Raw genomic sequence first — 20,416 nt, forward strand, 5'->3', positions numbered from 1 at the left:
CTAGAAAACCCAAGGGTTCCTGTTCCCAGTGCCTTTTCCTGGCATTTCCTCTCCTCTCAGCAGGGAGTGGGGGAGTGTCCCATCCCCATCCTGCCCTCCAGGGCCAGAGCACTCAACTTTGGGGCTGGGGAGGGGGTCAGCTGGCATCAGATGCGGGACTGAACAGAGCTGAGATCAGAAGGGTAGAGAAGTCTGGGGCTTGGGATGTAGGAGAGACATCTGGGAGCGGGGGGCGGGGGTCCGGGGAAGGCTGGACAGGGCAGGGGGCAAGGCCAAAGCTGGGTCTGGCCTCTAGCCTGGGCATCTAAAGTGAGAAGAAGGACCTGTGGAGTCAGTCCTTGCCCCACCCAAGGAAATCTTAATCCAATAAACAAACAGCCAACACAGCCGCTCCTGTGCAAGAAGCCGTGGGAGCGATGGGGAGGCCACAGAGGTGGGGAGGCCAGGAGAGGGCAGGGAGGCTGTTTAAACAGGCCCCTCGGCCTGGGGCAGTTGGCAGAAATATTTGGAACAGGGTGGGGAGCACAGCTGTGGTTTGGAGCAGGAAGCTGGGGCCCGGGGTGGGTGGGCTGAGCTTGACTGCTTCCAGGAGAAAGAAAAGTGTCAATTCAGCCCCACTCTGGTCAACGCCTCTTCTGAGGGAGACTCCAAGTCCCAACACCCTTCCCTCAGTTCAAGGTCAATCAGGTCAACCAGACAGACAAGGGGCTCTATCCCTTATCTCCCAGAGTGATGACTCTGGACCCCCAGCCCTGCTCCCAGGCCTATGACCCTGGGCCTCATCACTGAAGAAAGTTTCAGAGTTCAGAGCCGAAACCCCGGAGTTCTCAACAGAGGAGTTAGAGGAGATGAGCCATCAGCTCTTTATTTTTTTTACTTTTTATTTTATTTTATTTATTTTTTTTTTTTTGAGAGAGGGTCTCACTCTGTCGTCCAGGCTGGAGTGCAGTGGCACGATGTTGGCTCACTGCAACCTGTACCTCCCAGGCTCAGGCAAATCTCCTGCTTCAGTCTCCCGAGTACCTGGGATTAAAGGTACCCATCACCAAGCCCGGCTAATTTTTTGTACTTTTTTAGCAGAGACGAGGTTTCACCATGTTGGCCAGGCTGATCTCTAACTCCTTGACCTCAAGCAATCCACCCACCTTGGCCTCCCAAAGTGCTGGGATTACAGGTGTGAGCCACTGCACTCGGCCCATCCACTCTCCCTAGGACGTGATATTCCCTTTCCTGCCGCCTTGCCTGGCAGTGGAGGAGCCCAGAAGTGATCGTGGCCCCCTGGGAGGCATTATCACCTTTTTTTTTTTTTTTTGAGATGGAGTTTCACATTTGTTGCCCAGGCTGGAGTGCAATGGCGCAATCTTGGCTTTCTGCAACCTCTGCCTCCCAGGTACAAACGATTCTCCCACCTCAATCTCCCAAGTAGCTGAGATTACAGGCATGCGCCACCGCGCCCAGCTAATTTTGTATTTTTAGTAGAGACGGGGGTTCACCATGTTGGCCAGGCTGGTTTCGAACTTCTGACCTCAGGTGATCCACCCGCCTCAGCCTCCCAAAGTGCTAGTATTACAGGCGTGAGCCACCGTGCCTGGCTGTCACCTTCTTTCAGGACTCTTGGCTCTCCTTTTGCCGAGACTCCTCAAGAGACTAAGGCAGAGAGTCAGAGGGATACATGTCCAGACTGACAGGCAGATATAGAGAGAGGTGAAGATACAGAAAGACCCACCCAGAGAGATAGCCACGCAGTCAGACACTGAGAGTGGGAGTGTGAGAGAGAGGGACAGAGAGAGAAGGGGTAGACAGAGGAGGCAGAGAAAAAGGAAGAAGAAAAGACATAGAAAGACTCACAGAAAAAAGAGCTAGACGGGTGGAGAGGAGAGACAGAGATAACAAAGGACAGGGTCAGGAGAGGGGAAAGGACACAGATGGGGAGCACACAGGAGGCGCAGGGCCAGACACACTCACAGGCCGAAGCAGAAAGAGGCTCACGAGAACTACACAAGGACAGACAGCCTCAGGACCCAGAGACACTCTCCTGGGAGACGTGGGGGGAGCCAAAGTGCTTGGGGGTCGAGCCCCACTGGGGGTGGCCTCACCAGGGCAATGCTGCTGCCTCCTGTCCCAAAAGCTTAACCAACCGCTGCCGGCATCTGGCCCCCAGCCACCCTCTAGTAAGCCAGCCCTTGGCCACTGGAGCCAGTGGGTCACCCAAGGTGAATGAAAAGTCACCAATAAGGGACAGTGAGAGTGTGACTGGGGTGAAGGTATGGGTGTCACAAGCCATGTGTGTCAGGGTGGGTCTGACCTGGGGTGGGGTTTAGGAGCGCACAACCCTATACACAGACCTCTGGGGGTTAGTGCAGGCGGGCATGCGTACCTGAGTGAGTTTGTGAGTGTCTGTACACGTGTGTGGATCCAGTTCCATTAAGAGCCTCACGATGCTAATGAGGCCAACGTGGCAGGCTGTTCCTCAAATAGCCCAATCAGAAACAATGAGTGAGCAGAGACAGCCACAATAAAGGTTTCATGCCTCTTCTGAACAGACGGTGTGTCCAGGTGCCACAGGGCACTTGACTACAGTCAACACCAGCGTACCATTCATTCCCGCTGGGGATGACCCCCGCCGCCTGGCCAGCTGACCCCACAGTCTCCCCTGTCCCAAGCCCAAACTCCAAACTCATGGGAGAACCCACATGATAGACACATGGGCCCTCCCGGGTGGCAGGCGCAGCTCCCTCTGAGAAGGGCAGCCAGAGGGATGGTGGGGTCCAACCCTGGCTTTCCCCCAGGCTAGCTTCCATCCCTCCTGCTGCTGCGGCCCCATTTAGCTCTCTCCTTGCTCCTGGGGTCCAGTGACCCACACCCTCACCACACACAGGAGAGAAGTAACCTCTCCTCCCCAGCCCTTCCCTCTCAAGCATCACAGGACATTAAAAAAAAAATTGTCCCAGTTTTGTGGTGGATAATGAGGTCAGGAGGCCCACAGGGGAACTGCTTGTTGATGACAACTGACAATCTTCATTTCACCTTGAAACTCCGTCCTGGTCCAGGTAAGCATGTTCTAAGCCCAGTTTTATAGGGGTGCTACTCTACTGGGGGACAGGGAGAGTGGGGAAGGAATTAACCAAATGGCAGCTGAAGTCACAGGCCCAGCCAGGCCCACCTGGAACACTCACAGGGCCTGGGGCAAGGGGACAAATGGCGGCCCACAGACATATGTCTAAATATTTAAAAGTTATAAATCAAGCCAGCAAACTGTGAAATATGTTCTAACCTCTCACCCTGACAAATACACCTTCATTAACAACCTGGAGGACCAGATACAAATTTGGATTTATCTGCCTCCTGAGCTTTACACATCAGAATGACTCTGTGCAGAGGAGACAGCTCCACTCGCACCCTGGCCACCCCCCTTCCTGCTGCCGGGTCCTGTCTGCACCACAAGGGACTCTTGTGCATGTATAAGGACACCCAGCCTCATGTCCTTGCTCCATCCACAGCCCCTGCAAATAGCTGTCCCTTCACTGTCCGTAGGGGTGCACACACTATTGGCATAACCTGTCCTGAGGCAGACAGGCCCAGGGAAGAGGCTGGCATGGGCTGGGAGCCAGATGGTGACCATCTAGGCAGGGACCTCCAGAGTCACAGGTATGGAGAATGTGGTCTTGGAGGGGACTCACAGTCTCATCCCCTCGGCCCTGCTGATGCCTCATCCCACAGGGAGAGGACTGGCAGCAGGAGGGCCAGAGTGGAGCCTTTGAAAGCCCCCAGCTTAGGGCATGGGCACTCCCTCCCTTGCCCAGGTTTAAGGGTGCTACTGAACTCAGCCTTCCCTGGCAGCCTAGAGATCAGGCCAGGGCCTGAAGCTGTCCTTTCACTGGAGGACAGCTTGGACAATCCCCAAACAGGACTTTCAGTCACTCGTATTATTTATCTTCCTGGAAAAATTTAGTGCGGCTTGATCCCAACTCCTGGAGGTGGGAGGGCAGAGCAGTGATGACAAGAGGGCATTTTTTTCAGGTTGGGTCTCCAAGCCAGAGCTTGTTCCACTGAGGCACAGCCCAAGTGAGCTCCTGCTGGTACTGGTCCCTGCCTTGGGCGGGGGCGGGGGGACTCTCTCCCCTCTACAGAGACAAAAGGCAACACAAACAAGGTGACTAAAAGAGGAGGAGGTGAGGGGCCCTGGGCAGCCCAGAGAGGTCCAGAGATCCAGGAACCAGCAGGGGGCAGGTTCCCCCTGGTAGGGGGGCATGCAGTGAAGGGCACTCTTTCTAGCCAAGCTTAGCTAAAAAAAAAAAAAAAAAAACCCTTCCACTCCCCCCTCCCCTGCTCGCTCTCACTCCCTGCAGATCGGCTTTGCTGTCCCACACATGAGGGGACACTGGTACTTTCTGAGCCCTCGCCAGGCTCCAGGCACTGTGCTAAGCGCTCTACATGTGTACCCTCATTTAACCCTTGCAGCCACTCTATGAGGTGGGTTCTATTATTATCCCCATTTTACAGGTGATTAAGTGAACTCAAAGAGGTTAAGAAACTTGTTCAAGGTCACGCAGTAGGTAGAGGTGTCAGAACTCAGCTCTAACTGACCCCAAAGCCCCCACTCTTTCCACTAGAGCACATGGCCTCCCAGAAGCAAGAAGCTGGCACAGACCCAGAAGGGATGAAGGTCGGATATGAGAACGAACTTCTGCCTCTGATGGTTTGTGTGGTGAAATGAGGCAATGGAATGGGGAATCTAGACAGACAAGGAAGCCCCCCTCCCCCCATTGTCACCCGTGTCTGTCCAAAGGCTTGCGATGATCTCAGGAAGGTCCCTGGGGTCCCAGCTGGACCCAGACAGCAATGTCCTGACTTCCCTTTGTTCTATAATCCAGGGTCCTCTGCTCTACTTCAACCCAGCACCAAGACCCAAAGGCTGCCTCTCCTTAGTGGCTCAGAGCTCTGAGCATCACATTCAAGCTGTCAGCCCAGGTCCTCCTCCTCCAGGAAGGCTTCCTCGAGGTCCTGGGAGGCAGGACCCCTTTCCTACAGCCCAAATCCCAACACTGAGGGTGCAAATGCTCCCCTGTCTGCAATAAGGCCACATCTGCGATCACCTTCCCCAGCCGGCTCTGTGACACAGACACAGAAAAGATCTACTGAGTTCCCAGACTTTCCGGGTTCCCTAGGCCATCGGGGTAATCCCCTGCTCACCCCCTTGTACCCAGATGTAAATAAATGATGCAGGTGCCCTGGGGCTCATTAGAAAATCCCAGGCCCCAGCTCAGCTATGCGGCGGCTTTTACCTCATTAGCCCACGGAACAGAAGCCCAGTTTGGGTCAAGCCATCACCCCCTAGGGTGGGGAAGAGGCTGCCCTTGGATGAGGCATGGCGCACTCTCAGTCAACGAGGTTCCTTACTCCGGACCCCCGTCCTCACCATCCCCAACCTGCCCCACTCCAGAAAGCTGCGTGTCTAATGCCCGGCTCTTTCTTTTCCATCCTTTGGAGCCCGCCTGGCATCAGGGATAACCAGCCAGGACCCTCTAACTGCCCCAGAGTTCAGTCCCGCCCAGCAGATGCCCAACGTCGGCGCTCAGAGCCGAGATAGGGATATCCTCACTGTCCCTTGGGGTCCCCCAATTTTGAGGCGAGAGGACCGGACAGGTGGAAGAGGCTGCCTCGTTCTCCCGCGCTGCCCTCGAGGTCCTCGGCGTGGACTAGCCCGCGTCGCCGTCTTACCTGCGGGGCAGAGACGGAGCCCGCCGCGGCCACCTGCTCTCGCCTGGCTGGGAACGCTGCGTGTGGGGCTGGCTGGGAGGGGCGGGGCCCGGCGGGGCAGGGGCGGGGCTGGGAGGGGGAGCCGGGCCGGCCCCTCCCTCGAGGCCCCGCCGGTGGGGTGCGCGGGCTCATTCAGGTGGGAAGTCCCGGGAGAGCATCTGAGCCACAGGGAGGGCCCGGAGCTCGAGTTCTGAAGGCTGGGAAGTTAGGACTCCAGGGGGTGCGGGGGGTGGGTGGGAATTCCCCGCTTCAGACAGCCTCGCCCAGATGCCCTGGAGAGGGTGACTTCATATAAAGACCCCTCACACGAAGAAGAAAGCTCAGAAACCTCTCCTGGCCTGAGTCCCCTTCCATCTGAGCTCTTCGGGCCTGGCAGGGTTGGGTGTGAGACGGGACACTCCTCTAAAGTAAGGGTGCCCTCTCCAGGGCTCAGCTGTGTAGGGGTTTAGGCCGCTGAGGGGGCCATTAGGCAACCAGACCATCTTTATCCTCAGCCCATCTCCCTCCCTGCCACACAGCCCCTCCTCCGCCCCCAGCGCCAGCCCAGGTCCCCCAGCTGTCACTGTTTAGCCCTGGAATGACAGGCGTCCTGACTCCGTGAGTCTAGCCACATTCAAGGCCTTTGAGCTTAGCACCCCTGAGCCCCTGCCCCCTCCCTCTGCCCCCAGTCGCTAATTTTATTGACCTGTAAAAGGCACGTTGCTGGCAGGCAGTATACTAACTGAAGGCAAAGTGGGGAGCGGATGGGCAACTCTCCCCCCGGGAAGGCAGCTGGAGATGGGACAGGAGGGAGGAGGAAGGAGACTCCTGGATCCAGGGCCAAGGACACTTTGAGAGGAGGAAGAGGGGGGCCTTGGGAAAGAGAAGTACACTGTCTATGGGAGATGGTAGCCAAAAAGACGGGAACGGGAATTTCAGCCCTCAATCAGACAAGAGGCCTACAGAAAAAAGAAAATGCTGGGAGAAGACAGGGTGCATTTCTCATCTACCTGGGGACAGAACCAAGAATGTAGCAGGAGGGAAGGAGGTTGGACGGCAGGAAGGACTGCCATCCTGCTCTCAAATCTCTGCCCTAGCCCCCTCCCTTCCTCTTGAAGGTGTCTCCTGCCTGCTGGGCCTTGTACTACAGAAATAGCCCTTTCCCTGATGAAGCAACCTAGATCTTGCCTTTCTTTTTCTTTCTTGTTAAAATGAGAACAGAAAATTTAGGCCTTTGTAATTTTCCCCACCCCCGTGCCTACCTGAGCCCACCCCTCAAACCCTGGATCTCAGCCTTTCCCCAGCCTAGGGGAGATGATCTGAGGGTTAAGGGAAGGTGGAGAGGGGAATATCGGGGTTGGAAGCTATTATGGGGTAGGGGGAGCAGGAAGCCCTCACACTCTTGATGGGCCTCAAGTTTAGACTGTTGATACCCTTTATGAATAAGGCTTAGGAGGGCTATTAAAGAGGAGTGTTTAAAACTTCTTTTATTTTTTTATTTTTGAGATGGAGTCTTACTGTGTTGTCCAGGCTGCAGTGCAGTGGCATGATCTCGGCTCACTGCAAACTCCGTCTCCCAGGTTCAAGTGAGTCTCCTGCCTCAGCCTCCTGAGTAGCTGGAATTACAGGGGCCTGCCACTATGTGAGGCTAATTTTTGTAATTTTTAGTAGAGATGGGGTTTCACCGAAATGGCCAGGCTTGTCTCCAACCCCTGACCCCAGGTGATCTGCCCACCTCGGCCTCCCAAAGTGCTGGGATTACAAGCGTGAGAAAATGCGCCTGGCCTAAAACTTTTAACACTAGGTCAGGCACAGTGGCTCATACCTGTGATCCCAGCACTTTGGGAGGATCACCTGAGCCCAGTAGTTGGAGATCAGCCTAGGCAACATAGTGAGAACTTGTCTGTACACTGCCCCTCTACCCCCCAAAAATTAGGTGTGGTGGTATACATCTGTAGTCCCAGGTACCAGGGAGGTTGAGGTGGGGGGATTGCTTAAGCCTGGGAGGTTGAGGCTGAAGTGAGCCATGATTGTACTACGGTACTCTAGCTTGGGCGACAGAGCGAGTCCCTGTCTCAAAAACAAAATAAGAACAAAAACAAAAAAAAAAAGGCCGGGCCCAGTGGCTCATGCATGTAATCCCAGTACTTTAAGAGGCCGAGGTGGGTGGATCACCTGAGCTCAGGTGTTTGAGACCAGCCTGTTGGGCAACATGGCGAAACCCTGTCTCTACCAAAAATACAAAAATTAGCCAGGCATGGTGGCAGGCACCTGTAATCCCAGCTACTTGGGAGGCTGAGGCAGGAGGATCACTTGAGCCCTGAAGGCAGAGGTTGCAGTGAGCTGAGATCGCGCCACTGCACTCCAGCCTGGGCGACAGAGTGAGACTGTCTCAAAAAAGCCAAACACTTTTAACACTAAAAATTACAAAGCAGGTCATTGGATGGGGAAGGGTGAGAGGTATGGATTTCAATGGGGAACCAGGAAACTTTTGTTGTTCTTTGAAAATTCCACTGGAAGAAACAGGACATTTTGAGGGTGATGGCTATGTTCATTATCTTGATCGTGGAGGATATGCATGTTAAAATGTATCCAGGCCAGGGATGGTGGCTCACGCTTGTAATCTCAGCACTTTGGGAGGCTGAGGCAGGCAGATCGCCTGAGGTCAGGAGTTTGAGAACTACCTGGCCAACATGGTGAAATCCCATCTCTACTAAAAATACAAGAAATTAGCTGGGCATGGTGGCGGGCACCTGTAATCCCAGCTACTTGGGAGGCTGAGGCAGGAGAATCGCTTGAACTCAGGAGGTGGAGGTTGCAGTGAGCCAAGATCGTGTGACTGTACTCCAGCCTGGGCAACAAGAGTGAAACTCCATGTCAAAAAATAAAACAATTTTAAAAAAGTACCCAATTGCACACTATACAAGCAGTTTATTTTCTACCAATTATATTCCAACAAAATTAAGACACCACACATTTTCTATCCCATTTTTTCATTTATTTTTATGAGGAGCCTCAAAAAATAGAAGTGGCCTTGGTAGGGAAGGAATGTCGTGATTCTGAGTACAGTATGGCAAATTCTTTTGCCTCAGTTTCCCTAACTCCATCCAGTGCATATGAAAATGTCTATGTGCGTACAAGGTAGGTCTGGACTAAGCTCTGGCCCTCCGGTTGTTTTCCCATTGCGGGAGCCTAAGCCAGGGTGCCCAGGACTCCTGTGTGGCTGGTGGGCCTGATGCCCACAGCTGATGATTCAGGAAGGAGGGGCCTGGAGTCTGCTGCAGACTCTCCCGCCCCCTACAGCCCAAACCGGGCACTGCAGCAATGAGGTGGTCAGTCCAGGGAGAGGTCCGACAAGTTCTCGGCACAATGCTGCAGGAAGTCAAAGTCAGGCACGGAGAAGGGCACGCGGGACCACTTTTTGGCCTGGATCCGCCCCTGAGGGGTCTCCAGCAGCATGCTGCGGACTTTGAGCACTGGCAGCTTCACTGACTTGTAGATCATCTGCAGACCCCAGACCTGGAGGTGAGACAGAGAGGGTAGGGTCTGGGTCTCTGGCCTCAGACTGGGCTTCTCTCCTCAAGTTGGAATTCCCTGAATACAGGGCCTTTTCCTCCCACCTGAGATGTCACAGACTGTGGGCTCCCTTAGGGAGGGGCTGGACCTCCCTCTTCAGACTGGAGGCCATGGGGTGGGACTGTCTCCCGTGTCCTAGTGAGGGCTCCCTGAGGGCCTCTGAAGACTGGGGCTGAGGACTCTGGGGCCTGGGACGTGGCCTAAGCTCTTACCTCCCCACAGTTCCTGCAGCTGATGACACCCCCAGGCTTCCAGTCCTTGAAGACTTTGTTGATGACCACAGGATCCCTGGAGACATTATAGTAGTTCCTGGAGAGGAAGGGGGGTGGCCACAGCCCTCATTGACCCTCCTCAGCCCCGGATCTCATGCCCTCCTGCCGGCCAAGTCTCTGCCTGGACCTTGGGCCTTCCTGCTGGTTAAGAGGCACAGACTTCCCAGGCCAGGAAATCCAATCTTTGGTGAGTTCTACCTGTGTGGCCTCCATCGCACGTTCCCTTGTGCCCAGGTTCAAGCCTCAGCATCGGTTACCTGGTCTTCACAGTCTCCTTATGGGTCTCTCTGCCTCCATTTTTACTCCCAATCCCAAGCCATCCTTCCACCAACTGCTAGAGGGATCTAAAAATATAAATCTGCCCTGACATTCTGTTCCTTAAAATCTATCCAAGATTCCTAAGAGGAACCTCCTGGATAAAGGCTACACTTTCACACCTGACCTTTCAAATCTTCCACGGGCTAGTCTGTCTTTTTCTAAATCTCATTATTCACAGTCCCTTCCACTCAGGTCAACTGGTGTCGCTTTTTTTTTTTTAAAGGCAGAGTCTCACTCTATTGCCCAGGCTGGAGTGCAGTGGTGCGATCTTGGCTTGCCTCCCGGGTTCAAGTGATTCTCATGCCTCAGCCACCCAAGTAGCTGGGATTACAAGCATGGGCCACCACGCCCAGCTAATTTTTGTATTTTTTTTTAGTAGAGAAGGGGTTTCAATATGTTGGCCAGACTGGTCTTGAACTCCTAACCTCAAGTGATCTACCCACCTCCGCCTCCCAAAGTGTTGGAATTACAGGCGTGAGCCACTGCACCTGGCCCTCCATGGTTACCTTCTCATTCGCTCACATTCAAACCAGACCCATTGAGACCTAGCTGAAATGCAACCTCCTCAATTGAGAAAATCTGTGTGAAGATCCTTGGCACAGTGGCCCGGAACACAGAGGGTAACATAATGAATGGATGGAGGATGGGGGAAGGTTACTCTCTAGGAGATAGTGGATGGAGGATGGCCCAGGGATGGCCAAGCTCTCTTGATATCTTCGGAATAGGTAGGACCAGAGGGTCAATGTGTGGTCTTTTGACACTTAGTATCCTGAATTCCAGTTCTTGCTCAACCAGATAGTGGCTGTGGGAACTTGGGCAAGTCACATAGCCTCTCTGAGCCTCTATTTCCTTGCCTGTAAAATGGAGACAGGGATAAAACCTGTCTAACCAGATTATTGTGAAAATGCAAAGTACTTGCTACAATGCTCTTTAGCTTCCCAAAGCTTCAAAGCACTGTCTGGATGGGAAGGATTCCCAGGCCCCCATCCCAGTAGCCCCTTCCACAGGTCTCACGAGAAGTTGGGGTTCACATTGACATGGTGGGTGCCCTCCACCTTCCGCAGGTCGCTGCCATGGCCCACAGCCACCATGCAGTTGATGCAGAGTAGCTGCACGTGCTCCACTGGGAACTGCTGCCGCTGGTTCTCCCGCTGGGCTGCCTGGGCCGCCCGCTTGGTCAAGGCTGCCTGCTGCAGATCCCGGATCTGGGGTGGGAGGAGACACCAGGCATGGCTGGGGCCTAAGAGAACGTTCCTTGGGGGACAAAAGGTTCCCAAAGAACTAAGATCATTTGTACCTGGAAGAGACTTTCCTTAACCCTCCCTGGAGCTTAAAAGAAGCTCTATTGCTGTGATGATGCAGTAACTCATGCCTGTAATCCCAGCATTTTGGGAGGCCAAGGCGGGTGGATCACGAGGTCAGGAGTTCGAGACCAGCCTGGGCAACATGGTGAAACCCCATCTCTACTGAAAATACAAAATTAGCCGGGCATGGTGGCGCATGCCTGTAATCCCAGCTACTCGGGAGGCTGAGGCAAGAGAATTGCTTGAGCCCAGGAGGTGGAGATTGTGCCATGCACTCCAGCCTGGGTGACAGAGTGAGACTCCGTCTCGGGGAAAAAAAAAAAAACAGCTATGGAGAAAAACAGTATGAGTAGTCGGGGGCAACAGTGGGAGGGGTAAGCTTTCCTGCTCAATCTTGAAGGACTTTAGGCAAAGCTGCTTCTGTGAATCTGTCATGGGGCATCATTAACAATTATGCTGGGACAACAGGGAGCACCCTGGACAAGGCAGGATGGTGGTGGCCCTGCCTCAGGGGAACTGATGATATAAGTCCTAGTTCTGGGCTTATCTTCTGCACGTGGACTTATCTTGTCCCCTCTGCCTGGTTCCAGAAAGGCTGTAATGCAGCTCTTCCAGATACATAAAGTATCTCATGGCAAAGATAAATAAAGAGCCTTGGACAAGGCCTGTTCCCAAGGCCTTCTGGAGTCCAGGTACTGCCTTCCCTGGCAGCCCCACCCCGGCCCTTATTTAAACCTTCCCTAGGTGGCCAAAGTTAGCCCCGAGATGTAGAGGGGACAGGGGGACGTATGTGTGCAGTCAGAAACCTGCCAGGGAGGGGCTCCCTCCTCCCCATCCCTCCCACAGGGCATGCAGGCTGCCTGCAGACCTTGGCCTGGTACTCGGCCTGGTCCATTTTCTGCACAGCAGCCACTGCCTGCTCCATCAGCGTCTCCAGCGCCTCGTTGATCAGCTCCCGCTTCAGCTCCCGGCTACCTTCAGTTGCTACAAACGCGTATACACTCTGATCGGCCCGGGCACGGCCCCTGGCCTGGGAAGAGAGACAAGGGGTGTCCTGAGTTGGGCTGGGGCCCCACACAGGATCCTATAAGGGCGGCTGAGTGGAGGAGGATGTGAGTACCTGGACCATGGAGATTTCATTGGTCAAGAGCCCATAACGCACCACCACATTGCAATGTGGGATGTCCAGCCCCTCCTCCGCCACACTCGTGGCCACCAGAAGGTTCAGGGTTCCATCTTGGAACTTCTGGATCACTTCTTGCTGGTCCCTCTGCAGGCGGAGGGCAGGGAGGAGAAAGAGGCTGGTACATGAGGAGGCTCAGACTGACTCCACCTGCCAGAGTAGCCTCTTCTGGTTCAGCCCTCACTCCCAATCTTGGTCCATCTCCCTAGAGTACTTGAATCCCATCTTTATCCCCAGGTACCCCCAGGATCTTGCCCATCTTCCCAGGTAACTGTCCAACCCCTATCTTCCCTAGGGACTCCTAAGGGTCCCTGCCCCTCTAGTCTAGGAAAAACTCTCAAGCCATAGTCTTCTGCAAGGGACCCCAGACCTGATCCTGTGCCCTGAGGAACTGCATCACCCACCTCTTTCCCTACGGACCCCCATGCCCAACCTTCTGCCCCCAAGGACCTCCAGACTGGGAGAGGCTCCAGCACTGGGGAGGTCAGTGTCCGCCCCTCTCCCCTAGCTCCTTGCCCCTCTGCCTGGGGATAGTCAACTTTCTCTTTCCCCAGGGTCTCCCTGCCCCCACCTCTCTGTGCTGAAGACCCTGTTCCCCGCACTTCTCTCCTATGGAATCCCTCCCAGCGCCAGCATCTTTCCCCGAAGCCCACACCTGGGTCATGTGGGTGCTCTGGCTGCTGTTCCCAGCCCCAATCAGTAGCTGGGCCCGGATGTCCACAGTCTGCAGGCCCTGCTGCTGCTGGAGCCAGAGCAGGAGGGAGTGTGCGCTTTGGCGGGTGCGGGTGAAGATGATACCCCGAGGGCTGTTAGAGCTACTGAACTGCCTTTGCAGGATCTTTTCCAGCATCTCCAGTTTTGGATTCTCTGGGCCATGAGTTGCCAAGTGGGCCAGCTCATTCTTGCGGTCTGTCAAAAACCCCAAAATTTAGCTGGGTGTAGTGGCACATGTCTGTAGTCCCAGATACTTGGGAGGCTGAGGGCAGAAGGATCGCTTAAGCCTAGGAGGTCAAGGCTGAAGAGAGCTATGATTGCACCACTGCACTCCAGGCTGTGTAACAGAGTGAGACTCTGTCTGGGAAAAAAAAAAAGAAAGCAAGAAAGCAAGAGAAAGAGAGAGAGAGAAAGAGAGAAGGAAAGAAAGGGAGGGAGGGAAAGAAAGAAAAAAAGGAAAAGAAAGAGAGAGAGAAAGAGAGAAGGAAAGAAGGGAAGGAGGGAAGGAAGGGAGGGAGGGAGGGAAAGAAAGAAAGAGAAAGAAGAAAAGCCCCAGAGGCAGAGGATTCAGATCTTGGAGTGGGGAGGGCACTGGCGGAGGAGGTTCTCACAGCAATAGGACTGTAGGCGTGCAGAAGGTGGGGGGTGGGGGGTGGGGGAAGGATGGAACTCCTGCTCAACTCCCCCACAGCAGCACCAAGAACATATTTAAGGATGCCCTGGCCGGGTGCATTGGCTCACGCCTGTAATCCCAGCACTTTGGGAGGGTGAGGTGAGCGGATCACCTGAGGTCAGGAGTTCGAGACCAGCCTGACAAATATGGTGAAACCCCGTCTCTACTAAAAATACAAAAAAATTAGCTGGGCGTGGTGATGCACACTTGTAGTCCCAGCTACTCGGGAGGCTGAGGCAGGAGAATCACTTGAACCCAGGAGGGGGAGGTTGTAGTGAGCTGGGATGGTGCCATTGCACTCCAGCCTGGGCGACAGAGCGAGACTCCCTCTCAAAAAAACAAAAACAAAAACAAAAAAGGATGCCTCCTACCGAGCCCACTCTCAAGGCCAGCCTCACACCGGGGTCATACAGTACAGAACCTCAGACCAGAACCCTCTTCTCCCCAGTGACCAGGATGACCCTTGAGCTTTTAACTCTGACCTCTGCTACCCAGATCTCTTGAGCCCCAGCCTGTGCTGCGATTTGCAACCTTAAATTTCACCCTCTGACTTTCAGCTTCACTCTCTCAGTCTAAAGGAACCACTCCTAGCTAATCCTTTTAAAAAATCTGGGCCGGGCACAGTGGCTCACACCTGTAATCCCAGCACTTTGGGAGGCAGAGGCAGGAGGATCACTTGAGCCCAGGAGTTAGAGATCAGCCTGGGCAACAAAGCAAGACTCCGCCTCTTCAAAAAAAATTTTTTTTAATTAGCTGGGAGTGGTGGTGCCCACCTGTACGCCTAGCTACTTGGGAAGCTGAAGGGTGAGAATTACTTGAGCCCATTAGGTCGAGGTTGCAGTGAGCTATGATTGCACAACTGTCCTCCAGCCTGGGTGACAGAGCAAGACCCCGACTATTAAAAAAAAAAAAAAAGTCAACAATGTTAATTAATTTTAACAACTAAGCAAAAACCTTCACAAATGAGGAAATAAATCAGTCCTACCCATGGCCTTGGATTTTGGTTAGAAAAATAGGATCTCCACCAGTATCCTCACGGGCACCTTCCCATCCGACCTTGGCGCCTGTGCCCTGGCCTCTGACCTCGCATCCAGGTCCCATCATCCCCGGCCCCGAAGCCCCCTCCCGCCCCTCACCATCGAACAGGGCCAGCAGCCGGCGCTCGGCACACAGGATCTGGGTTTTAGTGACGTGCTCCCTGTGATAGAAATCCTGCAGCGCAGCCAAGGCATCCACGGCGCGGACGGTGTCATGGATGAGCAGCGCGTCATTGTAGCGCCTCAGGTGAAGCGCATACACCCGTTGCTCCTGAAGCCCAGCCAAAGCCGCTGCGGGAAGAGGGCGCAGGGTCTGAGCAGCCCACAGCCCCGCCCCCTGCCCTGCCCCATAGGGCCGTCCCACTCGACTCCACCCCTGGGGTGGATAGGCCCCGCCCCAAAGGCCTCCGCCCCGGCAGGCCCCGCCCCTGACCACTCCCACATCCTCGCCTCCGCCAGAAGGGCTGCCCCTCTCACCAGCCTCACTCAGCTTCACCACCTGCTGCTCATACATTTGCGTCCCAAATTTCCGGCTCAACTCAGGCATCTCCAGGTGGTCATGGATTTGGTCCATGAGCTTCTTCAGCAAGTCCCCAAACGGATCCTGAGCAAGAGGAGAGTTGGAGGGGATTCCCATACACGTTGGAGGATGGGCACCCAGTGGGGGTGCTGACCCCGGCGTGTAGCACACCGCGACTGCCTCACCCATCTGTCTTAGCTGTGGTGTGAGCTCCAGAGGGAGGCCGGCTAGGGTGTGGGGGAGTCCTGCCCTGTCTCACCCGCGATGTGCTCTTACCCTTTGGCCTGGGCACGGTGATGCCTAGTGTAAGGCACATGGACGTGCTTTGGTCAAGGAATAGGCCGAGGCGGACATCCGGGCCAGAGTGACTCAGCGAGTTTGGGGGGCAGGCACGTACTCCACTTGCTATATAACCTGTTTGTGTAAGTTCATACTGGACTCTACTGTCAGTAGAAGGTAAAACTGCCCTGCTGACGCTGTTCACGGAGCTTGGTTCAGCTCGGCACGGCAGGGCACGCTTGCTCGCCCAGAGAGAGAATAATGCTACTAACCCCTGCAAGGGACAGCCGGTCGCCTTGAAGGTGGGCAGTGGGGAGCCAGGAACCCGCTTGTGCCCAGAGGGAAAGAGTTAAGCTGCTGACCCTGACAGAGCTGGCCTTGCCGGCCAGGGAGAGCAGCTGCAGGCGTGGGGGCAGCAGGAGCCACAGGGCCGGAGCAGACAGCCCAGATAAAGGTGGACAGTGTGAGAGAGCCGCTGCTGAATAAAACTACATTTCACCTGCCTATGGCCCCCCAAGGGTTCTTTCAGCTATCTGCTCACTCACTCCCTCCCTCCAGACCACAGCATGGGCTCAAACCTGACCCCAAGTGTAACATTTGGTATAGTTATGGACCTGACACCTAGTCCTTGTCCAGTCCAGTCATGGCAGACACGAGGCCGTGTCCACACTAGAGAGGGCTCAGTAGAGCCTCAGCACAAAGTATCCCTGCTCTCTGGTTTGTAGTGCACTCCCCAGCATGACAGTGATGTGACAGACACCAGTGGTGCCTTCTGAGTCAATCCAAAGAGCGGGCTGTGGGCATGGGCTGTATCTGCCCCATTTCACAGAAAGGAGAAATTGAGGCTTGGATACATAGCAAGTGACCTGAAGTCACAGAGCTAGTGAGGGCAGAGTCAGGGCCCAAGCCTAGGTGTCCTAACTTCACACCGGCTCCCGCTCTCGCCGTGTCCCTGCCCCCGCGTACCTGGCTGCGCCTGTGGCAGAGGTTGTACTGTTTGCAAGGCTGTTGGCTGTGCTCCTGCAGCTGGGGGCAGCAGTTCTGGGGTGACATGATGCACCACGTGTCCAAGTTGGCACAGAGCTGGGGGCAACAGAGGACTTTACTGGAAAGGGAGGGTCTGTGGGGACAATGGTCAAAGATTTGGGGCAGGATGGATCCCAGCTGAGGACAGGAGAATGTGGGCATTCGTCTACTCAAATATTGCTCGCCCTCTCTGTGCCCGTCTTGTTCTAGGCACTGGGGATACAAAGGAACTCAGATTGGAGTTGGAGAGGCAGATAATAAACCAGTAAAAGAATAATAGAACCGGCCAGGCATGGTGGCTCACACCTGTAATCCCAGCACTTTGGGAGGCCAAGGCGGGCGGGTCACCTGAGGTCAGGAGTTTGAGACAGCCTGGCCAACGTGGTGAAACCCCACCTCTACTAAAAATACAAAAATTAGCCAGGCATGGTGGCACGCGCCTGTAGTCTCAGCTACTCGGGAGGCTGAGACAGAAGAATCACTTGAACCCGGGAGGTGGAGGTTGCAGTGAGCCAAGATCGTGCCACTGCACTCCAGCCTGGGTAACAGAGACTCCGTCTCAAAAAAAAAAAAAGAGGCTGGGCACAGTGGCTCACGCCTGTAATCCCAGCACTATGGGAGGCCAAGGCAGGTGAATCACGAGGTCAGGAGTTCGAGACCAGCATGGCCAACACGGTGAAACCCCGTCTCTACTAAAAATACAAAAAATTAGCTGGGCATAGTGGTGGGTGCCTGTAATCCCAGCTACTCGGGAGGCTGAGGCAGGAGAATCGCTTGAACCTGGGAGGCGGAGGTTGCAGGGAGCCGAAATCATGCCACTGCCCTCCAGCCTGGGCGACAGAGTGAGACTCCATCTCAAAAAAAAAAAAAAAAAAGAAAACAATAAAACCTTGCAGAGCGCATTAACAAGCTCTGAAGAGGATAGCACTGGATGATATGACAGAGAGCAGAGATCAGGGAGGACTTTCAAGAGGTGGCATTAAGCTGTTCAATGAATGACAAGGAGGAGGCAGCAGGAAAAGTTCAAAGGGAAGCGCATTCTAGGCAAAAGAAATGGTAAATGCAAAGGTCCCCGAGATGGAACAAGCCCTACATGTTCAACATGCAGAAGGCAGGCCAGTGTAACTGTAGGATGAGCTACAACAGGGAGGGCGCAGGAAATGAGGTGGAGAGGTAGATCACGTGGAACTTTGTAAACCACAGTAGAGTCGGGAGTTAATTCTTTGTACCATAAGAAACCATTGGAGGCTGGGTCTTAGGTGAGGAAGGGGCCAGACCCTGCCATGGAGAGCCTGGTAGGGCTGGTGGGGACGGGGTAGTGGCAGGGCAGGCAGGGAGGGAGGGAAGTCCCTGGTGGGTCTGGCAGTGGGAGGCCCACAGGGGCCAGGCTGACCTGCAGGACGTGGTTGATGGCCCCATCGAGTTTGGAGGCCCCGCCAGTGCCTGGGGAGGCTGTGAGACCCAGCACCTGGGGTAGCGGCTGTGCCCTCTGGAGTTTAAGTTCTAGGTACTGGCTCATGATGACGTTGTAGACGGTGTCCTTGTGCGTGTGGTGGCACTCATCCACCACGATCAGGGAGAAGACTGAGGGCACAGGGGGGAAGGCTGTGACCTATGTTTGCAAAGCCCTTCCTCCCATCAGCTTTCAAGTAGTCCCCACAATGATGTAAGAATTCCTTCTTCCCTTCACAACCTGCAGCTGGTCCCAGGATGAGGAGCCAGGCAGGGAAGACTTCTTTCCATTTCACAGATTAGTAAACCGAGGCTCAGCTGGGGAAGGGACTGGCCTAAGATCCTACACGATAGCCCGGCCTGTTTCTACTAGAGTGCCTGCAGGGGTTTTGTGAACAGGCAACCCCTCACTCCCACTAAAACTCCCAACACCTTGACTCCAGGAGGTGCCCTGGGGTTGGCGAAAGGAGGTACCCCAGATGCGTATCTTTTTCCTCCCGGCCATGGCCCTCACCAGTGAGCTCCACGTGCTCCTCCTCCTCGGGGCTGGTCAGTGCCATCTGCAGAAGCTCTGCTGTGCAGATGAGCAGGTCATGGCACCGGGCCAGGTGGCCAAAGCCAGCACGTGGTCCCATGTCCCCACTCAGGGTTGTCACGGTCCAGCGTCCATCCAGCATGCGCCTGAACTCTTCACCATGCTGGGTCACCAGGTGCACCTGGGGGTGGAGAATGAGCTGGGAAAAGAGAGCTGAATCTGGGGCCAGGGGTAGGGAGGCGGTAAGGTGACCCGCAGGACATGGCTGGGTACTGAGCCAGGGTGGAAAGACAGGTGAGCTTAGCGATGGCCACAGCAGCTTTGGAGTTCTGGTGGGGACTGGGAGATGCCTGAAGAGCTAAGACCCTGCTTGGTGGTGGGAGAGCGGGGTAGGGACAGACCACTCACCCTGTTGACCAATACAACCACCTTGGCTCCATCCACAGTCTCTAGGTGCCGCTTGGCCACATAAGCAGCCGCCCGGGTCTTCCCGGCACCCGTGGGCAGCCAGATGATGATATTCTTGCCCTCCAGGGCAGGCATGATCACCTCCCATTGGTAGGACCGAAGCTCCATTCTGGGAATGGCAGGGGACTCAGACCCACCGACTCCTCCACCCCTCCCAACTCCTGGCCAGACCAGTCAGTACAGAGACCTCCCTTTGCCCAGGACTCCACCCCACTTGAGGGAGGTGGGGCAGGACTCCCTCAGAACCCATCAGGACCCTGCTCTGCCCAAAAGGGGGAGGCGGGAGTAACACAGGCTACACCTGCCCCCTGCCCAGCCCAGGACTCACCTGCTCTAGTAGGTAGGTCTGCCCAGGGCAGTCCCACTTAACTCAGCCTGGTGCCACTCTGCTCAGCTCAGAGACCCAAGATGGAAACTGAAACTGAGGGAAGGAGCCAGCTGAGCCGACTTAGGAATCTCCCATCCCCGCCCCAGGAAAAAGAACCAAGAGAAAAGAACCGTTTGTGCTAACAGTCATCGCCAACTGCCGTGAGTACAAACTCCGGTTAAGTACTGCTGCTGCGCCAGCGCCCTGGCAGGCATGATCACCTCCCATTGGTAGGGCCACAGCTCCATTCTGGGAATGGCAGGGGACTCAGACCCACTGGGCCCTCCACTCATCCCAACTCCTGGCCAGAGCAGTCGGTACAGAGACCTCCCTTTGCCCAGGACTCCACCCCACTTGAGGGAGGTGGGGGGGGGGACACCCTCAAAACTCATCAGAAGCCTGCTGTGGCCAAAAGGTGGGGGTGGGGGGGGGTGGGAGTAACACAGGCTACACCTGCGCCTTGCCCAGCCTGGGTCTCGCCTGCACCACCACGTAGGCCTGCCCAAGGCGGCCCTGCTTAGCTCAGCCTGGTGCCGCTGTGCTCAGCGCAGAGAGCAGAAATCAGAAATGGAAACTGAAACTGAGGGGAGGAGCCAGCTGAGCCGACTTACGAATCTCCTATCCCTGCCCCAAGAAAAAGAACCACGTGTGCTAACAGGGAAGCACTCTTTCAGTGCTACAGGATCCTCTACGCTCTGGCCCTTCTGCAGTCAGTTGTAACCACATCCACCCAGGTTAAGGTGAAGGCAGGAGGTTCTGACCCCTGCTGCCCTGGCATCTGGATCAGGAGCAGCCTGGAGGAGGGAGAGGTGGGGGGCTGCAGGCAGGTAGGACCCATCACCCCAGGAGCACAGGACCAGGCCTGAGGCTTGCTGGGGAGAGCAGCCTCCAGTTTGCAAGAGGTCCCTGGGGGCCAAGGTGAGCCTGCTAAGGCTGGGACTACACCAAAGAAA

The 20,416-nt window shown here is 55.2% G+C and overlaps 2 protein-coding genes across 9 annotated transcripts in view, besides 10 other annotated features; both read right to left on the reverse strand.

The window, feature by feature from the left end:
• ZNF385C (zinc finger protein 385C) overlaps positions 1 to 5,785 on the reverse strand; it is a 72,898-nt gene extending 67,113 nt beyond the window's left edge. For all 4 annotated transcript variants that reach the window (NM_001378270.1, NM_001392014.1, NM_001392013.1 and 1 more), the window contains exon 1: positions 5,722 to 5,785. The gene's annotated coding sequence lies outside the window, so the exon portion shown is untranslated. The remainder of the gene's footprint in view (positions 1 to 5,721) is intronic.
• Positions 5,786 to 8,722: 2,937 nt separating this feature from the next.
• On the reverse strand, positions 8,723 to 20,026 carry DHX58 (DExH-box helicase 58). Of its 5 annotated transcripts, none has more exons than NM_024119.3 (14): positions 19,917 to 20,026; positions 19,425 to 19,517; positions 19,037 to 19,205; positions 18,608 to 18,809; positions 18,035 to 18,225; positions 16,582 to 16,698; positions 15,294 to 15,420; positions 14,916 to 15,107; positions 13,048 to 13,301; positions 12,330 to 12,479; positions 12,078 to 12,239; positions 10,920 to 11,110; positions 9,528 to 9,624; positions 8,723 to 9,258 (listed from the first exon to the last, which is right to left on the reverse strand). In NM_024119.3, the coding sequence occupies exons 3-14, from the start codon at positions 19,202 to 19,204 to the stop codon at positions 9,073 to 9,075; spliced, it is 2,037 nt and encodes a 678-aa protein (NP_077024.2). In that variant the 5' UTR covers position 19,205; positions 19,425 to 19,517; positions 19,917 to 20,026; the 3' UTR covers positions 8,723 to 9,072. The 5 variants fall into 5 exon arrangements, with proteins under 5 accessions (NP_077024.2, XP_047292680.1, XP_047292681.1 ...); XM_047436724.1 differs by having other exon boundaries at positions 19,915 to 20,026; XM_047436725.1 differs by having other exon boundaries at positions 19,608 to 20,026.
• Positions 11,715 to 12,648: an enhancer, noted in NCBI's record as "H3K4me1 hESC enhancer chr17:40256421-40257354 (GRCh37/hg19 assembly coordinates)". NCBI's record gives its function as "activates a minimal SCP1, AML or CMV promoter by ChIP-STARR-seq in primed H9 embryonic stem cells {active_cell/tissue: H9 hESC(primed)}" and the evidence as "EXISTENCE:reporter gene assay evidence [ECO:0000049][PMID:30033119]".
• Positions 12,649 to 13,580: an enhancer, noted in NCBI's record as "H3K4me1 hESC enhancer chr17:40257355-40258286 (GRCh37/hg19 assembly coordinates)". NCBI's record gives its function as "activates a minimal SCP1, AML or CMV promoter by ChIP-STARR-seq in primed H9 embryonic stem cells {active_cell/tissue: H9 hESC(primed)}" and the evidence as "EXISTENCE:reporter gene assay evidence [ECO:0000049][PMID:30033119]".
• Positions 15,003 to 15,062: an enhancer, noted in NCBI's record as "active region_12183". NCBI's record gives its function as "activates an Ori minimal core promoter by ATAC-STARR-seq in GM12878 lymphoblastoid cells {active_cell/tissue: GM12878}" and the evidence as "EXISTENCE:reporter gene assay evidence [ECO:0000049][PMID:35858748]".
• Positions 15,163 to 15,212: a silencer, noted in NCBI's record as "silent region_8514". NCBI's record gives its function as "represses an Ori minimal core promoter by ATAC-STARR-seq in GM12878 lymphoblastoid cells {active_cell/tissue: GM12878}" and the evidence as "EXISTENCE:reporter gene assay evidence [ECO:0000049][PMID:35858748]".
• Positions 15,163 to 15,736: a biological region, named in NCBI's record as "H3K27ac-H3K4me1 hESC enhancer GRCh37_chr17:40259930-40260442".
• Positions 15,167 to 15,382: a silencer, noted in NCBI's record as "fragment chr17:40259873-40260088 (GRCh37/hg19 assembly coordinates)". NCBI's record gives its function as "represses an EF-1alpha promoter that drives an FKBP-Casp9 reporter gene in an ReSE screen in K562 erythroleukemia cells {active_cell/tissue: K562}" and the evidence as "EXISTENCE:reporter gene assay evidence [ECO:0000049][PMID:32094911]".
• Positions 15,223 to 15,322: a silencer, noted in NCBI's record as "silent region_8515". NCBI's record gives its function as "represses an Ori minimal core promoter by ATAC-STARR-seq in GM12878 lymphoblastoid cells {active_cell/tissue: GM12878}" and the evidence as "EXISTENCE:reporter gene assay evidence [ECO:0000049][PMID:35858748]".
• Positions 15,224 to 15,736: an enhancer, noted in NCBI's record as "H3K27ac-H3K4me1 hESC enhancer chr17:40259930-40260442 (GRCh37/hg19 assembly coordinates)". NCBI's record gives its function as "activates a minimal SCP1, AML or CMV promoter by ChIP-STARR-seq in primed H9 embryonic stem cells {active_cell/tissue: H9 hESC(primed)}" and the evidence as "EXISTENCE:reporter gene assay evidence [ECO:0000049][PMID:30033119]".
• Positions 19,534 to 19,633: an enhancer, noted in NCBI's record as "active region_12184". NCBI's record gives its function as "activates an Ori minimal core promoter by ATAC-STARR-seq in GM12878 lymphoblastoid cells {active_cell/tissue: GM12878}" and the evidence as "EXISTENCE:reporter gene assay evidence [ECO:0000049][PMID:35858748]".
• Positions 19,874 to 20,393: an enhancer, noted in NCBI's record as "active region_12185". NCBI's record gives its function as "activates an Ori minimal core promoter by ATAC-STARR-seq in GM12878 lymphoblastoid cells {active_cell/tissue: GM12878}" and the evidence as "EXISTENCE:reporter gene assay evidence [ECO:0000049][PMID:35858748]".

This window comes from Homo sapiens, chromosome 17 (genome assembly GCF_000001405.40).
Source record: "Homo sapiens chromosome 17, GRCh38.p14 Primary Assembly".
NCBI lineage: Eukaryota > Metazoa > Chordata > Mammalia > Primates > Hominidae > Homo > Homo sapiens.